The following is a 19,438-nucleotide window of genomic DNA, read 5'->3' as shown; positions in this document are numbered from 1 at the left end:
TTGGAGGCAGAGTCAGTAGGTCTGGTGATGGATTATATGTGGTGGTGACAGTAGGGAAGGGCCGAGGAGGAAAGCCACGCTTGGAACATGAGCAGTCATGAGTTTTGTGGGAATGGGAAGCATGCCTCAGGGGCAGGAGGGCAGCTGCCCTCAGGGGAAGGGAAGGAAGTAGGGATGGGGAGGATGCCGCCATGTGTCCTTAAGCTTTGGCGTCTTCCTGAGTGAACTGGGGTTTATGATGATACCTGTACCCTCAGGGTGAATGTTTCAGCCCTATTATCCAAAACCTCTTCTACAGCAGTCTTCCCTCTCCTTCACAGGTGGAGTGTGTTACTCTTGGGGCTGGAATGAGCATGGCATGTGCGGAGATGGCACTGAAGCCAACGTCTGGGCCCCAAAGCCGGTGCAGGCTCTGCTGTCATCGTCAGGACTCCTTGTGGGCTGTGGGGCTGGCCACTCCTTGGCCCTCTGCCAGCTGCCAGCTCACCCTGCATTGGTCCAGGACCCCAAGGTCACCTACCTTTCCCCAGATGCCATCGAGGACACTGAATCTCAGAAAGCCATGGACAAAGAGAGAAACTGGAAGGAAAGACAATCAGAAACTTCAACCCAAAGCCAATCTGACTGGTCCAGAAATGGGGGACTGTGATAGAGAATCTTTAATAAAGTGGCTTTTCCCACCAAAAGCCTTCCCAGAGAATTGTTTTGTTGGGCTGTGGGGTTGGCCGAAGAAGGGCTCAGGAGGCAGTGATGGTTAGGCTGACCACAAACCAGAATGATGGCAGGCTGCTTGCCTAGTGCCTGGGGCTCAAGGAGACAGACATGCTTTCTACTCAGCAGAGGAGAATGAGGGGTTAGGTCTTCACTAAAGATATGGAAAGCTAACACACCAGTAGGAAGTCTCCAGCCTGTCGCTGCCTGGTGGAGATAGAAAACCCAGTTCTAGGTCCTTCATTATTTTGGCCCAGCAGCCTTCAATTCAGCAAAACAAAGGGTTCCTGGGCCATGCCTAGAGCAGCCCCTCCTGGGGTTTTATTTTTAAGGCCCAGAGCACATGGTTTTCTAGTTCAAGGATATCGAGGTACCCTGATCAGATGACTGGATACTTAAACAGGAAAGAGCTCTTATCTTGGTGACTGCGGGTGAGGGAGAAGGTTCTGGAGTAGGGGTGGAGGGGAATAGAGAGGCGTATGTGGAGGAAGAGTCAAGACTTCCGGGAAGACCCAGTAGAGGAAAACCCTAGGACAGCAAGAGAGGCTAGAACCGACGAAACTCTCAGATTTTTCTTCATCTGAGTCAGCCAAGGCGCTGGAGCTTGTTTGTGTGACTATACTTGCTAAAATATACTGTTTCAGATGAGGGACAGGCCACAGCATGTGAAGGGGAGTCTGTAGGGATAGCAACGTCAAAGACTCTGACCCCTGACCGTCTGCCCCTCAAGCCTTAGCCTGTACAGGAAGAGGGCCCTCGGGTAAGATGGAGACCAGGCCAGATCCCCATTCCCTGACTTCCCTGTGGCTCTGGGGGACATAGGACCTTTCTCTCTGCTGTGACTCGCAGCAAGCCTTTTGCCGGAGGACCTCAGAGAATGGACTTTTTCTGGAGAACCATGTGGCAGTATCACCAGCTAGGCAGCCCAGGTCTGTGACCCATCCCACGCTGCCTCCTTGTGACTCAGAATGAGTCTGTGAGGGCTGGGCTGCAGTGGCTTCAAGTTACAAAATCCCAGGATACCAAAGCTAGAGGCCCTTGAAAGACCATCCAGCCTAGTGGCCGTCACGCTGCATCCTTTAGAGCCCTGGGAGTCTCCTGAGAACTCAGTGGCCACCTTGTGGGTCAAGGAGGCCAGGTAGATAGAGGTCCAGGTTCCCCCGACCCCCGCCCCCCAACACATCTTATTCCAAGCAGCTTTAGTTTTTCTCTATATTGGGCTTCACATAACATTTCGTTTGACAAGAGGTCCTTGAGAAAGTTTAAAAACCACTGATTTTATTCAACATTTTCATTTGTTCATGTGGGAAAATGGAGGCCAAAAGGGGGGAAGGGACCATCTCAAGGTCATAAACCTCACTACCAGGCCAGGGTCCTGATTGGGAAGTGACCCAGCTAAGTCCTTGAGTGAGACAAGGGTTTGATGGAGAGTAGCCCTGGGACCAGGAGTGAGTTCAGCTCAGGAGAGGAGGATGAGGACAATCTTGAGCTTCCCAGGCCTGAACATAGAGACCACTGACAGCCACAGGCTGACCTTGAACATCGTGCATGGAGTCCTCTCAATATTGTACCCTAGAAACATGGCTGCCCTGGCCAGCAAATCCCTTGGTTCCCCACCTCTCAGGACCAATAGAGGCCAGTACAGTCTCCAAGAACTTGAGGAATGGGAAGAAGGATATCTCCATGCACTCGGAGCTTGACTTGCCAAGGTGACCAAACAAACCACAGAGATGGAGCAGTCAGATGGCCCAGAGGTGATCCATATGGGAGCAAGCCCAAGGACACTGGCCCACCACCCACTGTCCTAAAGGCCTGTATCAGACACACAGGCCAGAAAGCAATCCCACACCGGATAGCACTCAGGCCCGTACTGCCTGAACAGTTACTACTCACAAAGAACCAACGCACTCTCTCTCACAAGGTTCCAGTTCAGAGCTCCCTCCTACCTCTTTCAGCACCTGCTGGAAGAAACCAAAATCCCAAGGCCTCTGCTGCTGAGTCCTAATGCCTCTCCCATGACCTCCTTGTGAGCACCAAAAAGAAGTGTCTCAGAGTTCCTTCCCAGCCTGAAACAGGATCAGGTGGTGCATTAGCCCGAGCCCTTTGATGCAGAACCTCAGACTCTCAGAACTGAGTCAAACCCTTCTTAGAAGCAGACAGGTGCAGATAATCCACATGTGGAAGGATGAATGGCTGTTGGCACTAGAAGACATCATAGACCATCCCATCACCTTGAGTTCCTCCATTTTTGCCTTTCCCGACAGCAGTGTTGGGCAGATGGGCGCTCTCCATGCTCCTTCACTGGCTGAATCTGATGAGTGTCTGAAAGCACTCATCAGATAATGAGTGAGGAGGTGTTGACAATGTCTCCCAGATTTTTTTTCTGCACCCTTTGATTGCTATTGGTTATTCTCAGACTTTGTAGATGTCCAAGCCCCTCATTCCTAATAGCCTGTGAGCTCTTTGAGAGCAAGAGACCAGGTCTTGGTCAATTTTGGAACCCCTTTGCCAAGGAGGGGTCCTGGAATGGAGGAAGTGCCCAATAAATGCCCATGAATTAATTCATCAGTACACCCCACCCACCGTAGGGGGGAGGTTAAATGAGTGGGCTCTCTGATCCTCTCGTCACTATTCATCCTTTACTTTTAGCCCTTTTACAAATATCATAACCATTTGACAGTCAATTTACGACAACATCATTCACCTGGTAAGCTAATGTGCTGTAAGAACTGTGGCTATTTGAGAAAATACTCATTTTTAAAAACTACTTTTCTTCAGTGAACTAAGTGAATCAGTCTTCATATTCCTCCTGTGTGAGAAGGAAGGGAAAGAGGGGAGCAGGCCCCATTCTGTGCTCCCTGGTCGTTGGCCTGGCCCCTGGAGTGATGGTTGAAGGTCAAGCACAGACCAGATGTTGGTGGGACGTCTCCCTCCCTAACTACCATACTCACCCTCCCCTCCTGAACACAAGTACCCCATCATCCCTTGACACCCCCACCACCCTTGGCCCTGGTGGGTTGTGAGGGCCATGAGATCAGCCTTGGGTGAGATTGTGCTTAGGAATGGTGAATCCAGGCCTAGGGCTCAGGCTTAAAGCCTTCTCATCAGCCCCAGGCATCCACCACTTCTGGGTGAAGTGACTTCGTGATCAATTGAAACTGGGAGTTAGGGAGTTAGTTAGGGGTGGGGGTGATAGAGGGAGGGCGCGGGTCCGTGCAACTGCTACAAGTTCAGAATTTCAGAGTGACTGCAGTGCGGAGGGAGGAGGGAGGAGCGGCTGGTGAGGCAGTGGGCTTTGCCAGCTAGTTGAAGGAGCTGAAACTCCAATCTTAGGGCAACGAGGTGTTTAAGCAGGAGAGTGAGGTTGGCCAGCTGTGTGTCGGGGAGGCTTGGGGCACGATCAGAAGTGGCTCCCTCCTGTCACATTCATGGCACTTCATGAAGTAGGGCAGGAGGCCAGGTCCTGAGGTCCTGGGATTTAGGACCAGCCACTCTAGTGTTCCTATCATTTCCACCCCTAATGGCCAGCCCCTGAAGGCCTCAAGTAGCTTGAGACAGTTGTAACTTGAGCTCTGGATTCCGACCACCTGGGTTAAAACCCTGGCTTTGTCACACATTGGCTCTGTGGCTTTGGGCCATTATTTTACCTCTCTGCACCTTGTTTCACCTGTAAAATGGGACTGTTAGGTGATTGTGAGCTGTCATTAGATAACGTGTGTAAGATGCCCGCATGTAGTAGATACTCAGTTCATGTTAATTCCCTTTCCCCATTAGCTGCTGTGTCCCTGGAAACCCATATTCCTAACGGCTTTTTGCTGAGTCCCACTTTGAGTCCACCAGGGCACTTCTTTGCTTGTGGATCCCTAAGTAGAGTGGATATTACCCTCCCTGCAGCAGCGGAGGCTACTTGGCTTGTGCATCCTGATGCTTATGAATGGTGGTGGCAGCCCTGGTAGGGGCCCCGGGCAGAGGCCTGACAGTACTCACTACTCCACGGACCCCAACCCCTTGTTTCCTGGACTGCATGGGGCATCAGGAAGTTGAGGCCAATGCTTGGAGATGATGAAAAACTGTTAGATGAGAATTTCATACACACTTGAAGCTTCCCACCCACCCATCTGATCATGGACTCATGCCATGCTGGGAGGCATCAAGGGAAAAAAAATCAGGGGAAGACTGACACCTACTTGTCTGTGGCCCTGGGCAGATCCCTCTCTTCTCTGGGCCTCATTTCCTCATCTGGAAAATGCTCATAGATTGACTCTCATGACCATTATGGACGCTTTCCACCTGAACATTCCTGAAGTCTCTAATGGATAGAAAAGAATTGGAACCCCAAACCTCCACTTTGCCACCAAAACCAAGTGAACAACCCAAGACAGTCACGATCCCTAGGAGAGGGCTTTACCCCTCCCAAGATGCCTCCAGGCCGAGAGAGGGGTATGTGATGAGGGCATCCCTCAGACTTGTCCTGGCAAGGGTTCTGCTGGGTAGGGCACCCAGATCTGACAGTCAAACCCTACCTCTGGCTTCATCAGAGTCAAGAATGGCCCTAGAAGTGAGGTGACCACGGTCTGCATAAGGGGCTGGGAGCTCTAACATGGCCCGATTCAAGGACCCATCAGTATGGCATGATTCATGGAGAAGTTTCCTGGTCAGGTGAACCCCCTAGAGGAATTGCTGGTCTTAGGTCCTTATAAGCCCTGTGCCTTTGAAAGCTGCCTCCCTCCCCTGACCCAACAGGATCTGCAGCCCAAGGGGCCACCCTGCCCAACCAATCTGCAGAGGACAACTTTTTCCTTAGGGCCTGACTTTCCCCCAGCAAGAGGACAAGCACCTTAAGGGTGGATCCTTGAGACCAGAGCAGCCAGGGCCCAGGTTTACCCCCAGCCCAGCCACAGGGGACCAGAGGCCCAGACCAGAATCACGACACTGCCTGAAGGCAATAAAAACCCAAATTCATGCTTCATCTCAAAAGTCAGTTTTTTATTATTGGGGGCCAGGGCCCAGGGAGGGGAGGTTGTTGAGCTAAAGCATCATTGCTCTCTTTCCAGGAAATGTTGTGAGCTGCAGTGAAAGCTTGAGATGTTGCATTTTTTTCAACTCAAGCATGTGTTTTTCAAAAATATCATCCTTCCCCCCCACCCCACTAATTTTAGAATCAGACCAAAGCCAAGCTACTGTCCTCTGTTTCTGTTGGGAAAATACTATATTTATTCGAGATGCAGAAGTGTGTCTCTGCAAACCTCCGACTGCTTCAGGAAAACAAATCTGCTTTAGACTATACAGAAACCATGATACAAAATTTATTTCATGCTAGAATCGCTTTGCATAACATTGGGCATGCAGGTTTTTACTCTGAAGTACTAAATTGCATACAATGCCAGGTTGTGCCTTAGTAAAGGTGGAGGAGGCTGCTCCTCCCGTGGTCCTGATCTTTTGGTGCTCTACATCCTGGTTTTAATGGAACACTTGGAAAATCCATACGGTGGTGATTATTTACTATGAACAATTTGTTATGAAAGTTGGTCACACTGGATCTACACACCGATAAGATGAGAGAATCAACCTAGACTAGCTGCTGTCAGGGGTCTTGGGGAGACATCCGCTGGGTCACAAGCATGCCAAACGGGGAAGAAGGCAGCCGTGCGAGTTTCCACAATTCTATTTGGAGCAAAGTTCTCAGTTTCCACGTGAGAGATGAACTATGAAGGTGAGGTCAATATGACCGATGACTGACCGACTGCCCTTTTTGGAAGCTTTCCTCTTGATCTTGTGTACAAAAAGGAAGCAATCCATTCCCCATCTCTGTCCCTCCTCCCCTCGCCCCTCACCCCCAGAAATGTACAGGTTTCTACTGAACGCCGTTACAGTTTGGCTCCAACAACGTGTGTGAAAGTCAAGAGCTTTGAAAGAAAATAGAGGGCTTTGATGTTTTTCTTTTCATTATTGTTGTTCAGGGTAATCATACAGTTGCAGGGGGTTGGTGGGTTTGGTTTGCTGGGTTTTCTGTTTAACTTCATGCAAGTCATGCTAAGGAGCCCCTCCACCCCCCCTCCCCAAATAAAATAAAATTTTAAAAAATGAAAAGAAGGAAAAGAAATCCTCTACGGTCAGTTACCATTTGGCCGTAGAAAAAGCTACGTCCGTCCTAGTACAATGCCTGGGCCACTCGGACTCGTCCGGCAAACCTGCATGGCGTGAATTTACTCTGTCCGAGGGTGAGGAGGGGCTGCAGGTCCACCCAGATGCTTAATAGCCACCAGTGTCCTCGGCCAAGCCGCCTGGTCAAGTCACTCTCACAGCCTCTGTCGGCATATACTTAGCAATGACAGGGCTTTCTTTGCAAAGATCTGTATGTAAAGAATACAATTAACACTTGAGCTTCTCTTCTTGGCTCTCCCATCCCGCTTGGTACTTAGTTTTTAAGAAGGAGGAGGAAAGACAGAACAGCCGCATGCAGAGGCAGGCAGATTCTTCTCCAGCTGGCTTGGTTTGCCCATGCACTGAGCCAGCCTAGCACGCCTCTTTCTCTCCCTCCTGGGGGAATGGGATGAGTCCCTACTTCTGCTCTGCACATTGACTCACACACCTGCATGCCTTCTGGCTCAGAATTAGCCTGAGAAAAACAAGTCCTCGGCGGCTGTCGTGGCTCCATGAGAGCGCGGGCCGAATGGATGTAGGTGGGGACACTTCACCCTTAGCGCCTCCCAAAGACTCTGGCACCTAAGCCTCGGTGGGACTGAGGAATGGGTATCTCCTGTGGACAGTGCTTACCGCTGGACTCCCAGCCACTGCAGGGAGCAGCGCTGTTCCTGTCCCACACTCCCTTCTGTGCTTCTGGCACCACAGTAAAGAGACTGTCTTGTCTGCTCTTTGGGGCCACACCAATCAGTCTAACATTCAAGATGATGGAGACAGAAAGCCCACGAGAGCTTACTGGGCAGGGCACAGACACTGGGAACCGTCTACCTGCTTTTCCCCTCACTCCTCGGGCATTCTGCTTCTGGGCATTCTAGCACCTCCAACTGGGAAAAAGCCAGTCGCAAAGGGGAACATCAGGCCCATCCATGGCCGGTGCCAAGGATGGGACCCTCCCGAAGGCTGGCAGCCCTCCGCCATGCAGCACCATGCGGGGAGTTGCGCACCGTGCCCCGGCTCAAAGGACCTCTGGGCAGGGCAGAGAAGCAGAGACCAGCCTAGACCAGGTGGGCACAACTAAGCACCAGTGACCAGAACCACGTTCCCTCGTCTCCGTGCGGGCTGCCTCTCCTCTTCTAGGTTTGCCTTTGCTTTTGCATTCTGTTTTCTCCTGCGTGTGGTTTAATCACTTCAAATACTGGAGCAGTTGTGAATGACCATAGGCTGCACCAACTGTTGCTTTCAAAAACCCAGCTCCTCTTCTGACCCAGCCTGCTCACCCCGTTCAGCATGCATCCGTGTGCACGTGTGAGGCACTCCAAGACATGCACGAGCTGCCCAGCCAGTCTGCTGCACCAAGAAAGGTGCCCTCTGCCTTCTAGGTCCGGGCCAGTGCCTGGAGCCTTGAGCTCGGGCGCCCTGGGCCCCCACCCCAAGCCTCTCCCCGGCCGGTGCTGAAGCTCTAGGAGAAGCCTCTCTCTCCAGTGGGGACAGCCTAGCGTGCTGACTACAAAGAGACCTGGAGCAGGGGCCACCAGCAGCCTCAGCCTTCGCCAACCACAAGAGGGTGCTGACCACACCCTGGGCAGAGGCCTGTGGGTGCTGCGGATGGAAGGGGCAGGACCGTCCTGCTCAACCACCTTCTCTTGGCAAGTTCTCGATCTGCCACTAGCAATATTCTGACTGCAAGGACAATGGCCTTACCCCCAAGCCCTGAAGACATCTCTCTCTTCTTGCCTCTCCTCCCTCTGGCTTGTGGATTGATTATCTTTCAAGGATGCCTCTTCCATGCCAAGAACACGGATCTTGTGTAGCTAAGTTCACAGGGTCCTGGCCCACTCCACTGCCCTCCTCAATCAGGGGAGAGGAGAGATCACTTTGCCTTTGGGACTTGACCTGCCATCTGCAAGAGCAGCCTGGGGGAGTCAAGGCTCCTCCTGCATTCCTGGGTACCCCTGCCTTGGGGTCATGGCCTAAAGTCAACCTGTCCAATCCCCTCTCAACTCCCAGCAACCCACAGCTGCCAGGGCCTCAAGTTCTCTCTGCCAGCCTGACATCTCACTTGGGGGGAAGGGCCTCAGCCCTCCAGGGGCCGACCCTGGGAGATTCCCTCCATCCTTGCCCCCCTCGGTGTGCCTGCCTGCCCCTCAGCGCCCTTGCCCGCCGCCCTGCCCACCCATCTGCAGGAGCGCGAGGCGGCCCGGACGATGCACGGTGCTCCAGCTTCCTCTACATACCCTTTCTCATTCCTCCACCAGGTGGGCACGCGTACTCCCCGGTTGATAAGAGGAAGCAGGGTCCGTATCTCTCGCGGGTGCCCGAGCGCGTAAAGGGCAGGCCCTCATCGGGAGTGAGGGCCTGGTCTATGTGGGGGCAGTCTTCGTTCGCCAGCGCGGCCTTCGCCACCTCCCCATTCAGTTTGGAATCTTCAAACATATAAGCAGAAGCTATTGAGACACTGAAAACTGTTTAGTGGGGGGCAGGGGGGGACAGGCCAGAAGCGGGGTATTGGCAGAGGGCAGCTTGAGCGTCCCTGAGGACGGAAAAGCGGGCAGGCTGTGGAGCGAGGAGGGCACAAGGCAGGGGGCTTGGTGGGGGGTTCAGCTCATTCAGGCAGCCTTCGGGCTGCCCACAGTGCTGGGAGTGGGGACTCCTGGGTTTGCTCAAAGTTTGCAAAAAGATGAGTTGGTGATGGATCCAGCAGGTGTGGTGCTGGGGGCCGGCCCCGGGCCCCAAGCAGGGCCGATGAAACAGGATGGTGTGGATGCAGTCATGGGGGAGAGCCAGACACAGAGCTCAGGGAGAAGACAGACAGACACGCAGAAACACTCCAGTCCAGAGAGGGGCCTTTCCGGACCCCTCTGCTGCTGACCAGAGCCCGGCTGCCTCCCGTCCACAGCCAGCCAGTTGCTCGGGCTTCCCTAGCTCCATACAGACCATCTCATCTACTCTACCCCATCTCCCATTTGGATCTCATCTGATCACCTGGTTCACACCACCCCCACCCCCCATCTAATCACTCAGCCTGCGCCCGTACCCCCCCGACCCCAACCTCATAAAGACCCAAGCGGGTCACTCTGTATGCCCTGTTCCCCATACAGGCTAGGCCCGGTCACACAGTCTACTCTGTTCCCACACAGACCTGGTCCAGTCACTCTATGCCCCGACCCCCCATACAGACCAGTCCTGGTCACACAGTCTCCTCTTTGCCCATGCAGACCCAATTTGACCACTCCATCTGCTCCGTCCCCCACATGGACGGACCCAAGCTGATCACTCAGTCTGCTCTGGTCCCCACACATATCAAGCCAGTGTCTTCCACTCCATGCTGTCCCCAGCAGGCCTGGTCAGCTTGCACAGGCACAACAAGGATGTATGCATGAGGCTGTGGCAGCAGGACATGGATTTGGGAGGGGCTCCCATTCCTCTGTCCCCTCTGGTCAGTGTCCCCGGCAAAGCAAGGCAGATGAATGTGTAGAAGACAACAGCGGCTGATGGACTTGGGTGGGGGAAACTGGAGTTCTGGCCTCTGTGGCAGCCTGAGAAGAAGCCTGGGAGGAGGTCTGGGAGCACATTTGGTGGGGGGCAAACTTTGGCCAGAGCAAGGAGCTCTGTCTCTCTGCGATCTCGGAGCAGAGCCGTGGAAGCCTCTGGAGCTGACAGAGGTAGCCCTGACTGGCCTTTGCCCCCATCCCATCACTCTTGAGGACCGAACCTGCCCCAAACTCTCTGCCCTCAAAGCAGAATCTTCCTGGCCAGGGTGGAGCCAACTCCAATACTTCATCTAGGGTGACAGCCTCAAGCACAAGCCCTTTTGTGGAAGAGGGAAACCAACTTGGGCACGACCACGTCAGGGGAGGCTCTCTGAAAGAGTAGAGTGGGGGGAAAAGGCTGGAGACAATGTCCACCCGATTGAACACTCTCCCGTGATCCTGTTCACATCATGTAACTACACGCAGAAGTGATCCTTCCCCACGTGCACACGCTGGGCGTGCACGTGGGTGGGATTACCGCCCGTGTACACATCATGTCACTACAAAGAGGCAGTCAGTCAAAAGAGAAATGGACCAATCAGATTTATTCGTAAAGCAAATCCAAAAAAATCCCATCATAATTTTGGAACTTAAAAAAAAAGTCTTTCGTACAAGATGGCAAAGCATTTCACGTACAGTGCGTTTCTCGACAAATCCCAGGGGCTTCACTTCCCAATTTACTCTGAACCAAAAAGGCCAGTTGCCAAGGTAACTCTGACACCATGTGACTGGGGCCGGGGCGTCTCTGGGGTCTTGGGGCATGTCTGCAGGCACACACGTGTGCTCGCAGACACGCTGGTCCTGCCTCCCACTCTGGCTGGCCCAGTCTTCCATCCAAGGGTCTCCGGGCTGAGGGAGGAGGGTGTTGGGAGAGGGGAGGGAAACAGTATGGAGAGGACGCGGATGACGATGTGGGGGTTGAGGCCCATAGCACCCTGCATGGATTTTCCTCAAGGGGAGAACAGTGGGTCCTCCCAGGCAGCGTCTCCTTCTGGGAGGGGAGTGAGGACTTGCTGAGTCTCTGTTGGCCATCCTCTGCCAGGGGAGGTGTCCACAGCCTGCAGTTCTTGCCTGGGGAGGGGTGGGTCAGAGGGGGGTGCCTTCTCTCTGCCTCTGCCTCTGTGGAGATGGTGCCGCCTGAGACCCTTCTCTGGCTCTGAATGCTGGGCCCCCGCCCACTGGTTCTGTCCACAAGCCCCCAGGCCCTGGGGGCTCCCAGCTCTCACAATCACTAAAGGGCCCAAAGTTCGGGATGGTTTTGGGCAGGGGACAAGGAACATCCATCAGGGATCCCTGGAGGGATGATAGCCTGGCACCTTTCCCTCCTGGGGGATTCCCGGGACACCCCTAGGGCCTACTGCTTCTCTCAACCCTAACCTTTGAGGAGGGACTAATGATTGGGTGGGGAAGCTTAAGTCTTGCTCTGTGAAGGGGCCCAGGCCCCTGGGCTGTTCGTCTATCTATGGTTTAAGATGCTTTCAGAAACTGGGGCATTCTCCCTCCCCAACTCCAGAGGGGTGGCTTGAAGAAAGAGAAACCAACGAGGGGCCAACTGTATAAATCTGGGGAACCCATGAATAGGGTCAAAGGTGTGAGCCCCCGCCCCTGCCCCATCCTTTGGATGAGATAGTGGCTAGGAGCCTCCATTCCCACCTGCTTTCCAGAGGCTGGGGGCCCTGCCTCCCCCAGCCCAGGGCCCCCAGGCCCCCACTAGACCCACAGGCCTGCAGTGATGAAATGGCAGCATGGGCAGCGTCTCAGAGATGGTTTCCAGGCTTGAAATGGGCTGAGATGAGCATCTGCGAGAGGGTCATTTTTTTTTAAACTTTGGAGCAAGGAGAACCCGAGGCTGGGCCCTCAGTCAGCACAGCTGGCTTTTCTGCCCTGGTCTCCAGGCACCGCCAAAGTACTTACTGTTCACACCAGCTGCGGGCACCGGAGGGGCGCACGCGGGGCTGGGGTGGGTTGGGGGTTGCTGGGCATTTCCTTGGGTTTAGCCCTGAGGGATCTGCCCAGCTGGGGACTCAGGAAAAAAGTCTCAGGCTAAATGGGGACAGTCTGTGAGACACGAGCAGGGAACAATCACGAGAACCGGCACAAGTCATGCAACAAAACGAGGAGAGAGAGAGAAACATGATTAGTGGAGAGAGAGAGAAAGAGAGAAAATGTGAACAACACGGAAAAGAACACCCATGCCTGGCCCCTGGCGTCACTTCATTTCTCCGCTACTTCCCCCACAGCCCACCTGAGGACAACAAAGACCCCACTCAGGGCCCACAGGCTGCTGACCCTGCAGCTGGGTCCCTGCAGAAACTCTCTTAGCCCCACCCGCCGCCTAGTCAGCGCTGCCCAGCTCCCTCCCCCCTCCATGGATAGCACCACTCACTGGGCAGCCACTGCTGCCCAGCAGGGGAAGTAGAGGGGCTGGGGATAGGGGACTTTAGACCCCTTTGCCAAAGATAACCCAGAGGCTGCAAGGTTAGCTCCCAGGGAGCCCAGGCGGGGGCTTCTCTGAGACCTCACTGCTGTTCTAGGTGCCATGGGCAGGAAGGGAGCCCGGCCACCACCACCCCCTCCACCGGCCACCCACTGCTCACTGACGTGGGACCCTGCAGCCCTGGACGCGGCACCACAAAGGACTGACCCACATCACAGGAGCGGAGATGGACAAGACACATGCGAATGGGCATGGCAGGACGGAGGAGGCATTGTGGGCTGTCCAGAGTGGGCGGTCTGGGCATCCGACTGCAGATGCAGGAGGGAGCCCCTTTCTGGGAGAGAAGTAGCTTCTCCTGGGCCCCTCAGCCCTAGGCAATCCCTGGCTGTGCCAGGGCGCCCTCCTAGCATCCCCCAAGAGGTCCTACAACCAGGTGAGAATTGGATTCTTGATACCCCTCCCAGGACAAGCCCTCAGACACTGAGGCCATGCCAGCCACAGCACACAGGAGGAGACCAGATTGTCCCTGGGACAGACACACAGACTGAGGCTTCAGACGAGACCAAGAGGTGGAGGTGAGGGGCAGGTGCTGCTGGCACCACTGGGGGCTGGCCTGGGGGGGCGGGAGGGATGCCCTCAGAACCCAGCGTGCCACACACAGCCCCTAACTCTGGTTTTAAAAGTGGAATTGGAGAAGCTCAGGTTTTGGCGAGGCCACTAGACTGCCTTGGGGGTACAGTGAGACTGGAAAGGCCTTGGGGGGCTGCATCTCATCTCTCACAATTCCTGTGGGGCCACCACATTTACCTTCCTTGCCCCTGGCCTCCCCCTCACTCTCCCACAAACTCACCCCAACCCTATGCCCATCTAGGTGCATGGCTGCAAGCAGGAAAAAAGGTGAATGGGAAGAACTCTGGGGTGCAGAGGTGGGGACAACGCCCCTAAAGACCGCAACTCCTCTTGGTGGCGGATAGCCGGGGTCTCACACGCCAGCTTTTGGAGGGAGAAGTGTTCTGGTGAGGGATGAGGCTGGAGCCTCGGGGGTCAGGATATCAGGACAGCACCAACACCACCGGGAAGTGAGTGCTTGGGAAGGGCTTGGGAGCACAGTTGGTGACGGGGGAGGCAGGAGGGATCCAGGCATCCAAGCTCCAGAGGGCAAGCTTGTGAGGGCCCCAAATACTTCCTCAGCCACAGAGACTGTCCAAGCCAGAACTGTCTGGGCCCCTGAAACCTGGGACCAGGGCAAAGTGGCTCTCAAAAGCAGGGCTGGGGAGAGACTGTGGAGCTCAGGGGCAATCCCACAGGAGTGCATGGGTTTTACAGGTTTTGTGTCCTGGGATTAGCTGGTGTGCATGTCTGAACAAACACATCTGCACTCCCTGGGGGGCAGGGGGACTCCGCACAGGATAATACTGTCATTGTCCAAGAGTACAGAGGAATCTGGGCCTGCCTGGAGAGCACTGGGGATTCTTGACTGGCTGGCCCAGGGCACCTGTGCTTGGGGCAACACTCCTGAAAGATCCAGTGTCGGGGAGGATGCAGGGGAAGGGCCAGGTAGTGCCACAGTGATGCCACTCAGGCTGAGCTCTTCTTGCCAGGCCCACATGGAAGCTGGGGCCTGGGCCAGCCCACGCGTTCCTCCTAGAGGCCCAGAGCCCTGTTGGTAGCTCCTGAAATCAAGTAACTAGCTAATCCAAAGCAGAGAGCTCGGAGCTGTTTCAGCCTCGGAGACCCCTGGCCATGTTCCTCTCAGGCACCTACAGAAATCCCAGGAAGGGAAGGGTATGCGGCAGGGTGAAAGGACCGGGAAACCCCCATGGGCAAAGAAATGGGCCTTGAGGGTAGTGCTCGGGCCAGCATAGCTGTGGGGTAAAGCCAGAAGAGGATTGGGATGGGGTGGTGGGTCAGAGAGCGCGATAGCAGGGAAGAAAATCAATCATCCACTGGGGGAGGCCACCCAAACCAGGGGGAAACTTCCCCACCTGGGGCTGAGCTAGCCAGCAGCCTCCTGCCAGACCTGGGCATGGGGAGGTCCTTCATAGACTAAATGCCACCTGTCACGTCAACCTCCTGCTCACCTGGCACTCCTTCTTACTCAGTGCTGTCATTCTTCTCTGGGTCATCTGTTCCTTTGAAATCCCTGTGTCCACAGAATAAGTCGATGGTATTCCATGGGTAGAGGTAGACTATGGGCTTTATATCTTCGGACCAGAGCCCCATGATCAACTTTATGTGCTATGTGCAGGTTCTCATAAAACTGAGATAGTCCCATAACAAACCACTAGCCATGGAATATTAGAATATATCCCACGGTGACTAGTATTGTTTCATGCCCCCCTCCCCCCTCCCGGCCCCCAGTGAATTCACGGGAAAGTGGTTGTACACTGGTTGGGATGTCTATATTGCTGCTGCAGTCCCTACCGCTGGAAACGGGGAGAACCCTCGGTGGGAGGCTGTTGCTGGTCTGTAGCGCTTTCATCTAAGCTGCCCAGGGTGGTGGCCCCCTCTAGTCTTTTGCTCGGCAGCCGCTTCCATCGGGTCACCGGAAACTCCCACTCGACCATCAACCCAAACAGACAACGTGAAAGCTAGAGTCACTTCAACAGGTTCCTAAAGATAAAGGCTAAACTCTAGAGTGGTGGTAGAAGATGAGTTGGTTCAGCATGCTATGGGGTAAGTAAGCTTGTCACGGAGGGCTACAGGCGTCTCCTGGGAAGGACCTCGAGCTGGGCAGCCCGAAATCAGGGCAGGAATTCTACTCAGCTATGGAGACAGGCTCTGCCGGGGGTGAGAACCCTTGCACCTGCCTTTGCAAGGGACCCTCCTGCCCAGATCCCATGCACCATCTCTGCCATCTACACAGCCTGAAGGGAGCCATGGTAAGGACCAGATCAAAGGCTGTCTAGCGTTTCCAAATCACACCCGCCCCCACTCTGTCCCAACACCGGGTCAGTAGCCTGAGTCAGAGACTCACACCGGACTCCTGCCCCACCAAGCAGAGCCCCCCTGGCTCCTGCTAAGTTAGTCCTCAGCAACCTGGCGGGCCGCGTTGTCTCTTCAGAACATCACGAGACCAACCGCGTCAACCTCCTTACCCAGGGGCACCAGTGAGGTTCCTCTAGCAGGCTCTTGCCTGCTGAATTTGGCCGCCCAGCATCTCCCTGGGCCCCCAGGCTCCACACCTCCAGACTGAGTGCGGGGTCCGGGGTCACCCACGGAACTAAGGAAGCAGTCTGACTGGATCTGGAATCATCGCTACAGGGGGCAGAGGTGAAAGGTCAGATCGACATGCCTCTAAGAGGTTTCCTACCTGCTCTGTTAATTTCTAAAATTTCTTCCTGGGCCAGCGGACATGTGTCACTCTGAGTACTGTGGTGTGGAGAGTTTACGACAGATTTACAATAATTGGGAGATCCCAGCTGCGGTGGCCGCGGAATATGCTTCTTTTTTTTCTTTGGTAGTTTCTGCTTAGCCATGGCTAAGGAGTAATACATCCCGAAATTGTTCACGATGACGGGCACGGGCATGGCGATGGTGAGCACGCCCGCCAGCGCACACAGAGCCCCCACCAGCATGCCGGACCACGTCTGCGGGTACATGTCTCCATAGCCCAGGGTCGTCATGGTGACCACGGCCCACCAGAAGCCGATGGGGATGTTCTTAAAGTGCGTGTGCTCACTGGCGCTGGGGTCATTGGGCTGTGCCCCTATCCTCTCGGCGTAGTAGATCATGGTGGCGAAGATCAGCACGCCCAAGGCCAGGAAGATGATGAGCAGCAGGAACTCGTTGGTGCTGGCTCGGAGCGTGTGGCCCAGGACCCGCAGGCCCACAAAGTGGCGGGTCAGCTTAAAGATGCGCAAGATGCGCACGAAGCGGACGACGCGCAGGAAGCCCAGCACGTCCTTGGCTGCCTTGGAGGACAGGCCGCTCAGCCCCACCTCCAGGTAGAAGGGCAGGATGGCCACAAAGTCAATGATGTTGAGCGAGTTCTTGATGAACTCTACCTTGTTGGGGCAGAAGATGACACGCATGAGGAACTCGAAGGTGAACCAGACCACACAGACGCCCTCGATGTAGGTAAGGAAGGCCTCCGTCTCGGCCTCCCGGTAGTAGCGCACTTGCGTGCCATTGCGAACGTTCTCGATCTCCGTCTTGTTCACGATGGGGTTGAAGCGCTCGTGGGTCTCCAGGCAGAAGGTGGTGATGGAGACCAGGATGAAGAAGAGGGAAGCGAAGGCCACATACTGTGGGGATAAAGACACAGTGTCAGAGGGAGGCCCACCCAGAGTGGAGAAGCCTGGGTTGCCTCTGTCCAGTCCCAGGGCCAGGCGGGGGGAGATGCCAGCACCAGGCCCCCTGCAGCACGTGCTACATTTCCCTCCTCAGGGCACAGGGGGCCTGCACGACCGTCAGGGCAGGCTCTAAAACCCTCCTACTCCGCCTTCCATGCTGTCTTCTTCCCCCTATTGCCAGCTAGATGTGGAAGCCCCAATAACTAGTATAACTACAGAGGGAAGGAGCCTGGGTCCCTGAAAAGAAAGACATCAGCCACATACCCACATTGAACTGTTACCTGAGTGGGAAATAAATTTCCATTGTGTTCAGTCACTGTGATTTGGAGCTGATTTGTTAAGGCATTTAGCTACCCTGCCCATTTAGCTAGCCTGCTGGGGCTGAAGTTTGCAAAGAAATAAGAGGGGGCAGCTAGAGTGGAATGAAGCCCCTCAGAGGCCAGATCTCCATTTGTTCTCCCAACTCCAGGCTCTTTGCTCTTTTCCATGGGTCTGTACCTCCCTCATGTGGTCTCTTTCAGGTTCTATCCTGCCTAGAGCTGAAAAAAATGTATGTCTTCCCCATGGTCATAGACAGCTTTTTAAAATGTACCCCCTCTCTCTGTCTTCCTAGGAACTTGCACCACAACATGGTAATGAGTTCCCTGTCCTTGGAGGTACTCAAATAGAGGCTGAATGATCTTTTGTGAGAGAGACTGTTTGAGGATTCAGGCATCAGGAGGAGAATTGCACCAGGGATCCCCAAAGGCACCATAATCCATAGGCTCTGCTTGACTCCTTTCCAGCCCTAGGGTAGGGGTGTGAGTGGGAGGGAGGAAGAAGCTGCTGGAGGCCTGGGGCTTCCCAAACATGTGTGGGCACCTACTCTCTCAGACAGCACCAATGAGAAGGAAATGGCCAGGATCACCCTGCCTGTCCAGAACCACCTGCTCTGGCCCTGAGCCCCCAGCAAAAAGGTTTGGGAGACCCTTTGGTTTGGTTTGGAGGCCTCATCTAATGACCCCCTAGGCTTCTCTAGCCTGCAGCAGGCATGGGTACCGAGGAGACAGAATCAAGCAGCTTTCTGAGTTTCAAACCCTCCTGCTCAGACTGGATTCTGGGGCAAGGTCTCTTCTCACAGTCTCCTGCCAGCCCCGCCGGGACTCTAACACACTGTGGCCTCCCTTGGCCCTGCCCTGGGTGGATGGGCCCCTGCCAGTCAGCCCTCTCTCAGGGGCCCAGATAGTCACTCCCGCCTGCATGTCCTCACTGCACCCCACCCTTTTGGGTCCCCCTTCTCCCTGCCTAGCCATGGCCAAAGCAGTGCCTTCTCCACAAGGCAGCTCCGGGCTACAGTCTGCAAGGCGTGACACCTTTGTTCTCTGACCTGCCCTCATAGATCATTTGGAGGAGGGCCAAGGTCGCGCCCTGTGTCAACAGCAGGAGGCAGCCATGCTGCCCCTAGAGGCCGCCTTGTTTGCAGTGATGCCCCTCCCCCACCCAGGGGGTGCCCTGGAAGTCCCAGAACAGTCTTGTTTGGATTAACCATGGTCACAGGGCCTGACACTCAACCTGGCAGGGATCTGGGAACCAAGAATTATGTGGACCTTCCAAACCACATTCTGTGTTGAGGGAAGCTGGGAGCAAAGGGAAGTGACAAAGTTGGCATCTCAGAATGACAGAGTGAGAGTAGCCTGTAGATATGATCTGTTCTGAGACACCACATGCTACGAACGGGGAGCTGAGGCCCAGAAACGGGAAGAGATCTGCCTAAGCTATGCCAACGGGACACTACTAGTCCTGTTGGTTCCAGAGCATTGTGCGATTTTCAGAAAACTGTCTCCTGAGCCACTATCAAGTGTGGTCCATATGCAGCCTTCCTTCCTTCCATCCATCTGTCCCTCCTTCCTGTTTTTAAATTTTTATTAATTAATTAATTTATTTATTTATTTTTATTTTGCAGAGATGGGGTCTCTCTATGTTGTCCAGGCTGGTTTTGAACTCCTGGCCTCAGGTAAGCCTCCTGCCTTGACCTCCCAAAGTGCTGGGATTACAGGCGAAAGCCACCCCACCTGGCCTATCCCTCCTTTCTTTCACCAGCACATCATCCTCCCTTCCTCCTTTCCTTTCTCCTTCCCTGCCATCCATTCATCCTTTTTAATTCATTCATACACCCATCCATCCACTCATCCTCCCTCCCTTCTTTTCTCTCTCCCTCCCTTCCTTCTTTCCATCCATACATCCATTCATCTTCCCTTCCCTCCTTTTTTCTTTATCTCCCTCCCTCTTTCCTGTGTCCCTCCCTCCATCCCTCCCTTCCAACCACCCATGCACCCATCCAT

The 19,438-nt window shown here is 54.6% G+C and overlaps 2 protein-coding genes across 7 annotated transcripts in view, besides 2 other annotated features; one reads left to right on the top strand and one right to left on the bottom strand.

The window, feature by feature from the left end:
• The window catches only part of SERGEF (secretion regulating guanine nucleotide exchange factor), a 225,000-nt gene extending 224,314 nt beyond the window's left edge, over nt 1-686 (top strand). For all 3 annotated transcript variants that reach the window (NR_104041.2, NR_104040.2, NM_012139.4), the window contains one exon: nt 321-686. Coding sequence is in view for 1 of the 3 variants with exons in the window: in NM_012139.4 (NP_036271.1) it covers nt 321-649 (329 nt within the window). In the remaining 2 variants the exon portion in view is untranslated. The remainder of the gene's footprint in view (nt 1-320) is intronic.
• Nucleotides 5,677-19,438, bottom strand: part of KCNC1 (potassium voltage-gated channel subfamily C member 1) — a 48,277-nt gene continuing 34,515 nt past the window's right edge. The window contains exons 2-4 of one of the 4 annotated variants that reach the window (NM_001112741.2): nt 16,136-17,069; nt 9,090-9,278; nt 5,677-7,064 (exon numbers count right to left, since the gene is read on the bottom strand). In NM_001112741.2, coding sequence (NP_001106212.1) covers nt 7,000-7,064; nt 9,090-9,278; nt 16,136-17,069 — 1,188 coding nt within the window. In that variant the 3' untranslated portion in view covers nt 5,677-6,999. Of the gene's footprint in view, nt 7,065-9,089; nt 9,279-10,903; nt 17,070-19,438 lie in introns of those variants that run through there. The other 3 variants (XM_047426916.1, XR_930866.3, NM_004976.4) reach the window with 3 other exon arrangements.
• Nucleotides 16,486-16,986: an enhancer, noted in NCBI's record as "H3K4me1 hESC enhancer chr11:17793295-17793795 (GRCh37/hg19 assembly coordinates)". NCBI's record gives its function as "activates a minimal SCP1, AML or CMV promoter by ChIP-STARR-seq in primed H9 embryonic stem cells {active_cell/tissue: H9 hESC(primed)}" and the evidence as "EXISTENCE:reporter gene assay evidence [ECO:0000049][PMID:30033119]".
• Nucleotides 16,987-17,487: an enhancer, noted in NCBI's record as "H3K4me1 hESC enhancer chr11:17792794-17793294 (GRCh37/hg19 assembly coordinates)". NCBI's record gives its function as "activates a minimal SCP1, AML or CMV promoter by ChIP-STARR-seq in primed H9 embryonic stem cells {active_cell/tissue: H9 hESC(primed)}" and the evidence as "EXISTENCE:reporter gene assay evidence [ECO:0000049][PMID:30033119]".

This window comes from Homo sapiens, chromosome 11, assembly GCF_000001405.40.
Source record: "Homo sapiens chromosome 11, GRCh38.p14 Primary Assembly".
Lineage (NCBI taxonomy): Eukaryota > Metazoa > Chordata > Mammalia > Primates > Hominidae > Homo > Homo sapiens.
Note: the sequence above shows the minus strand (reverse complement) of the source record. Positions and strands in the feature narration are given on the sequence as shown.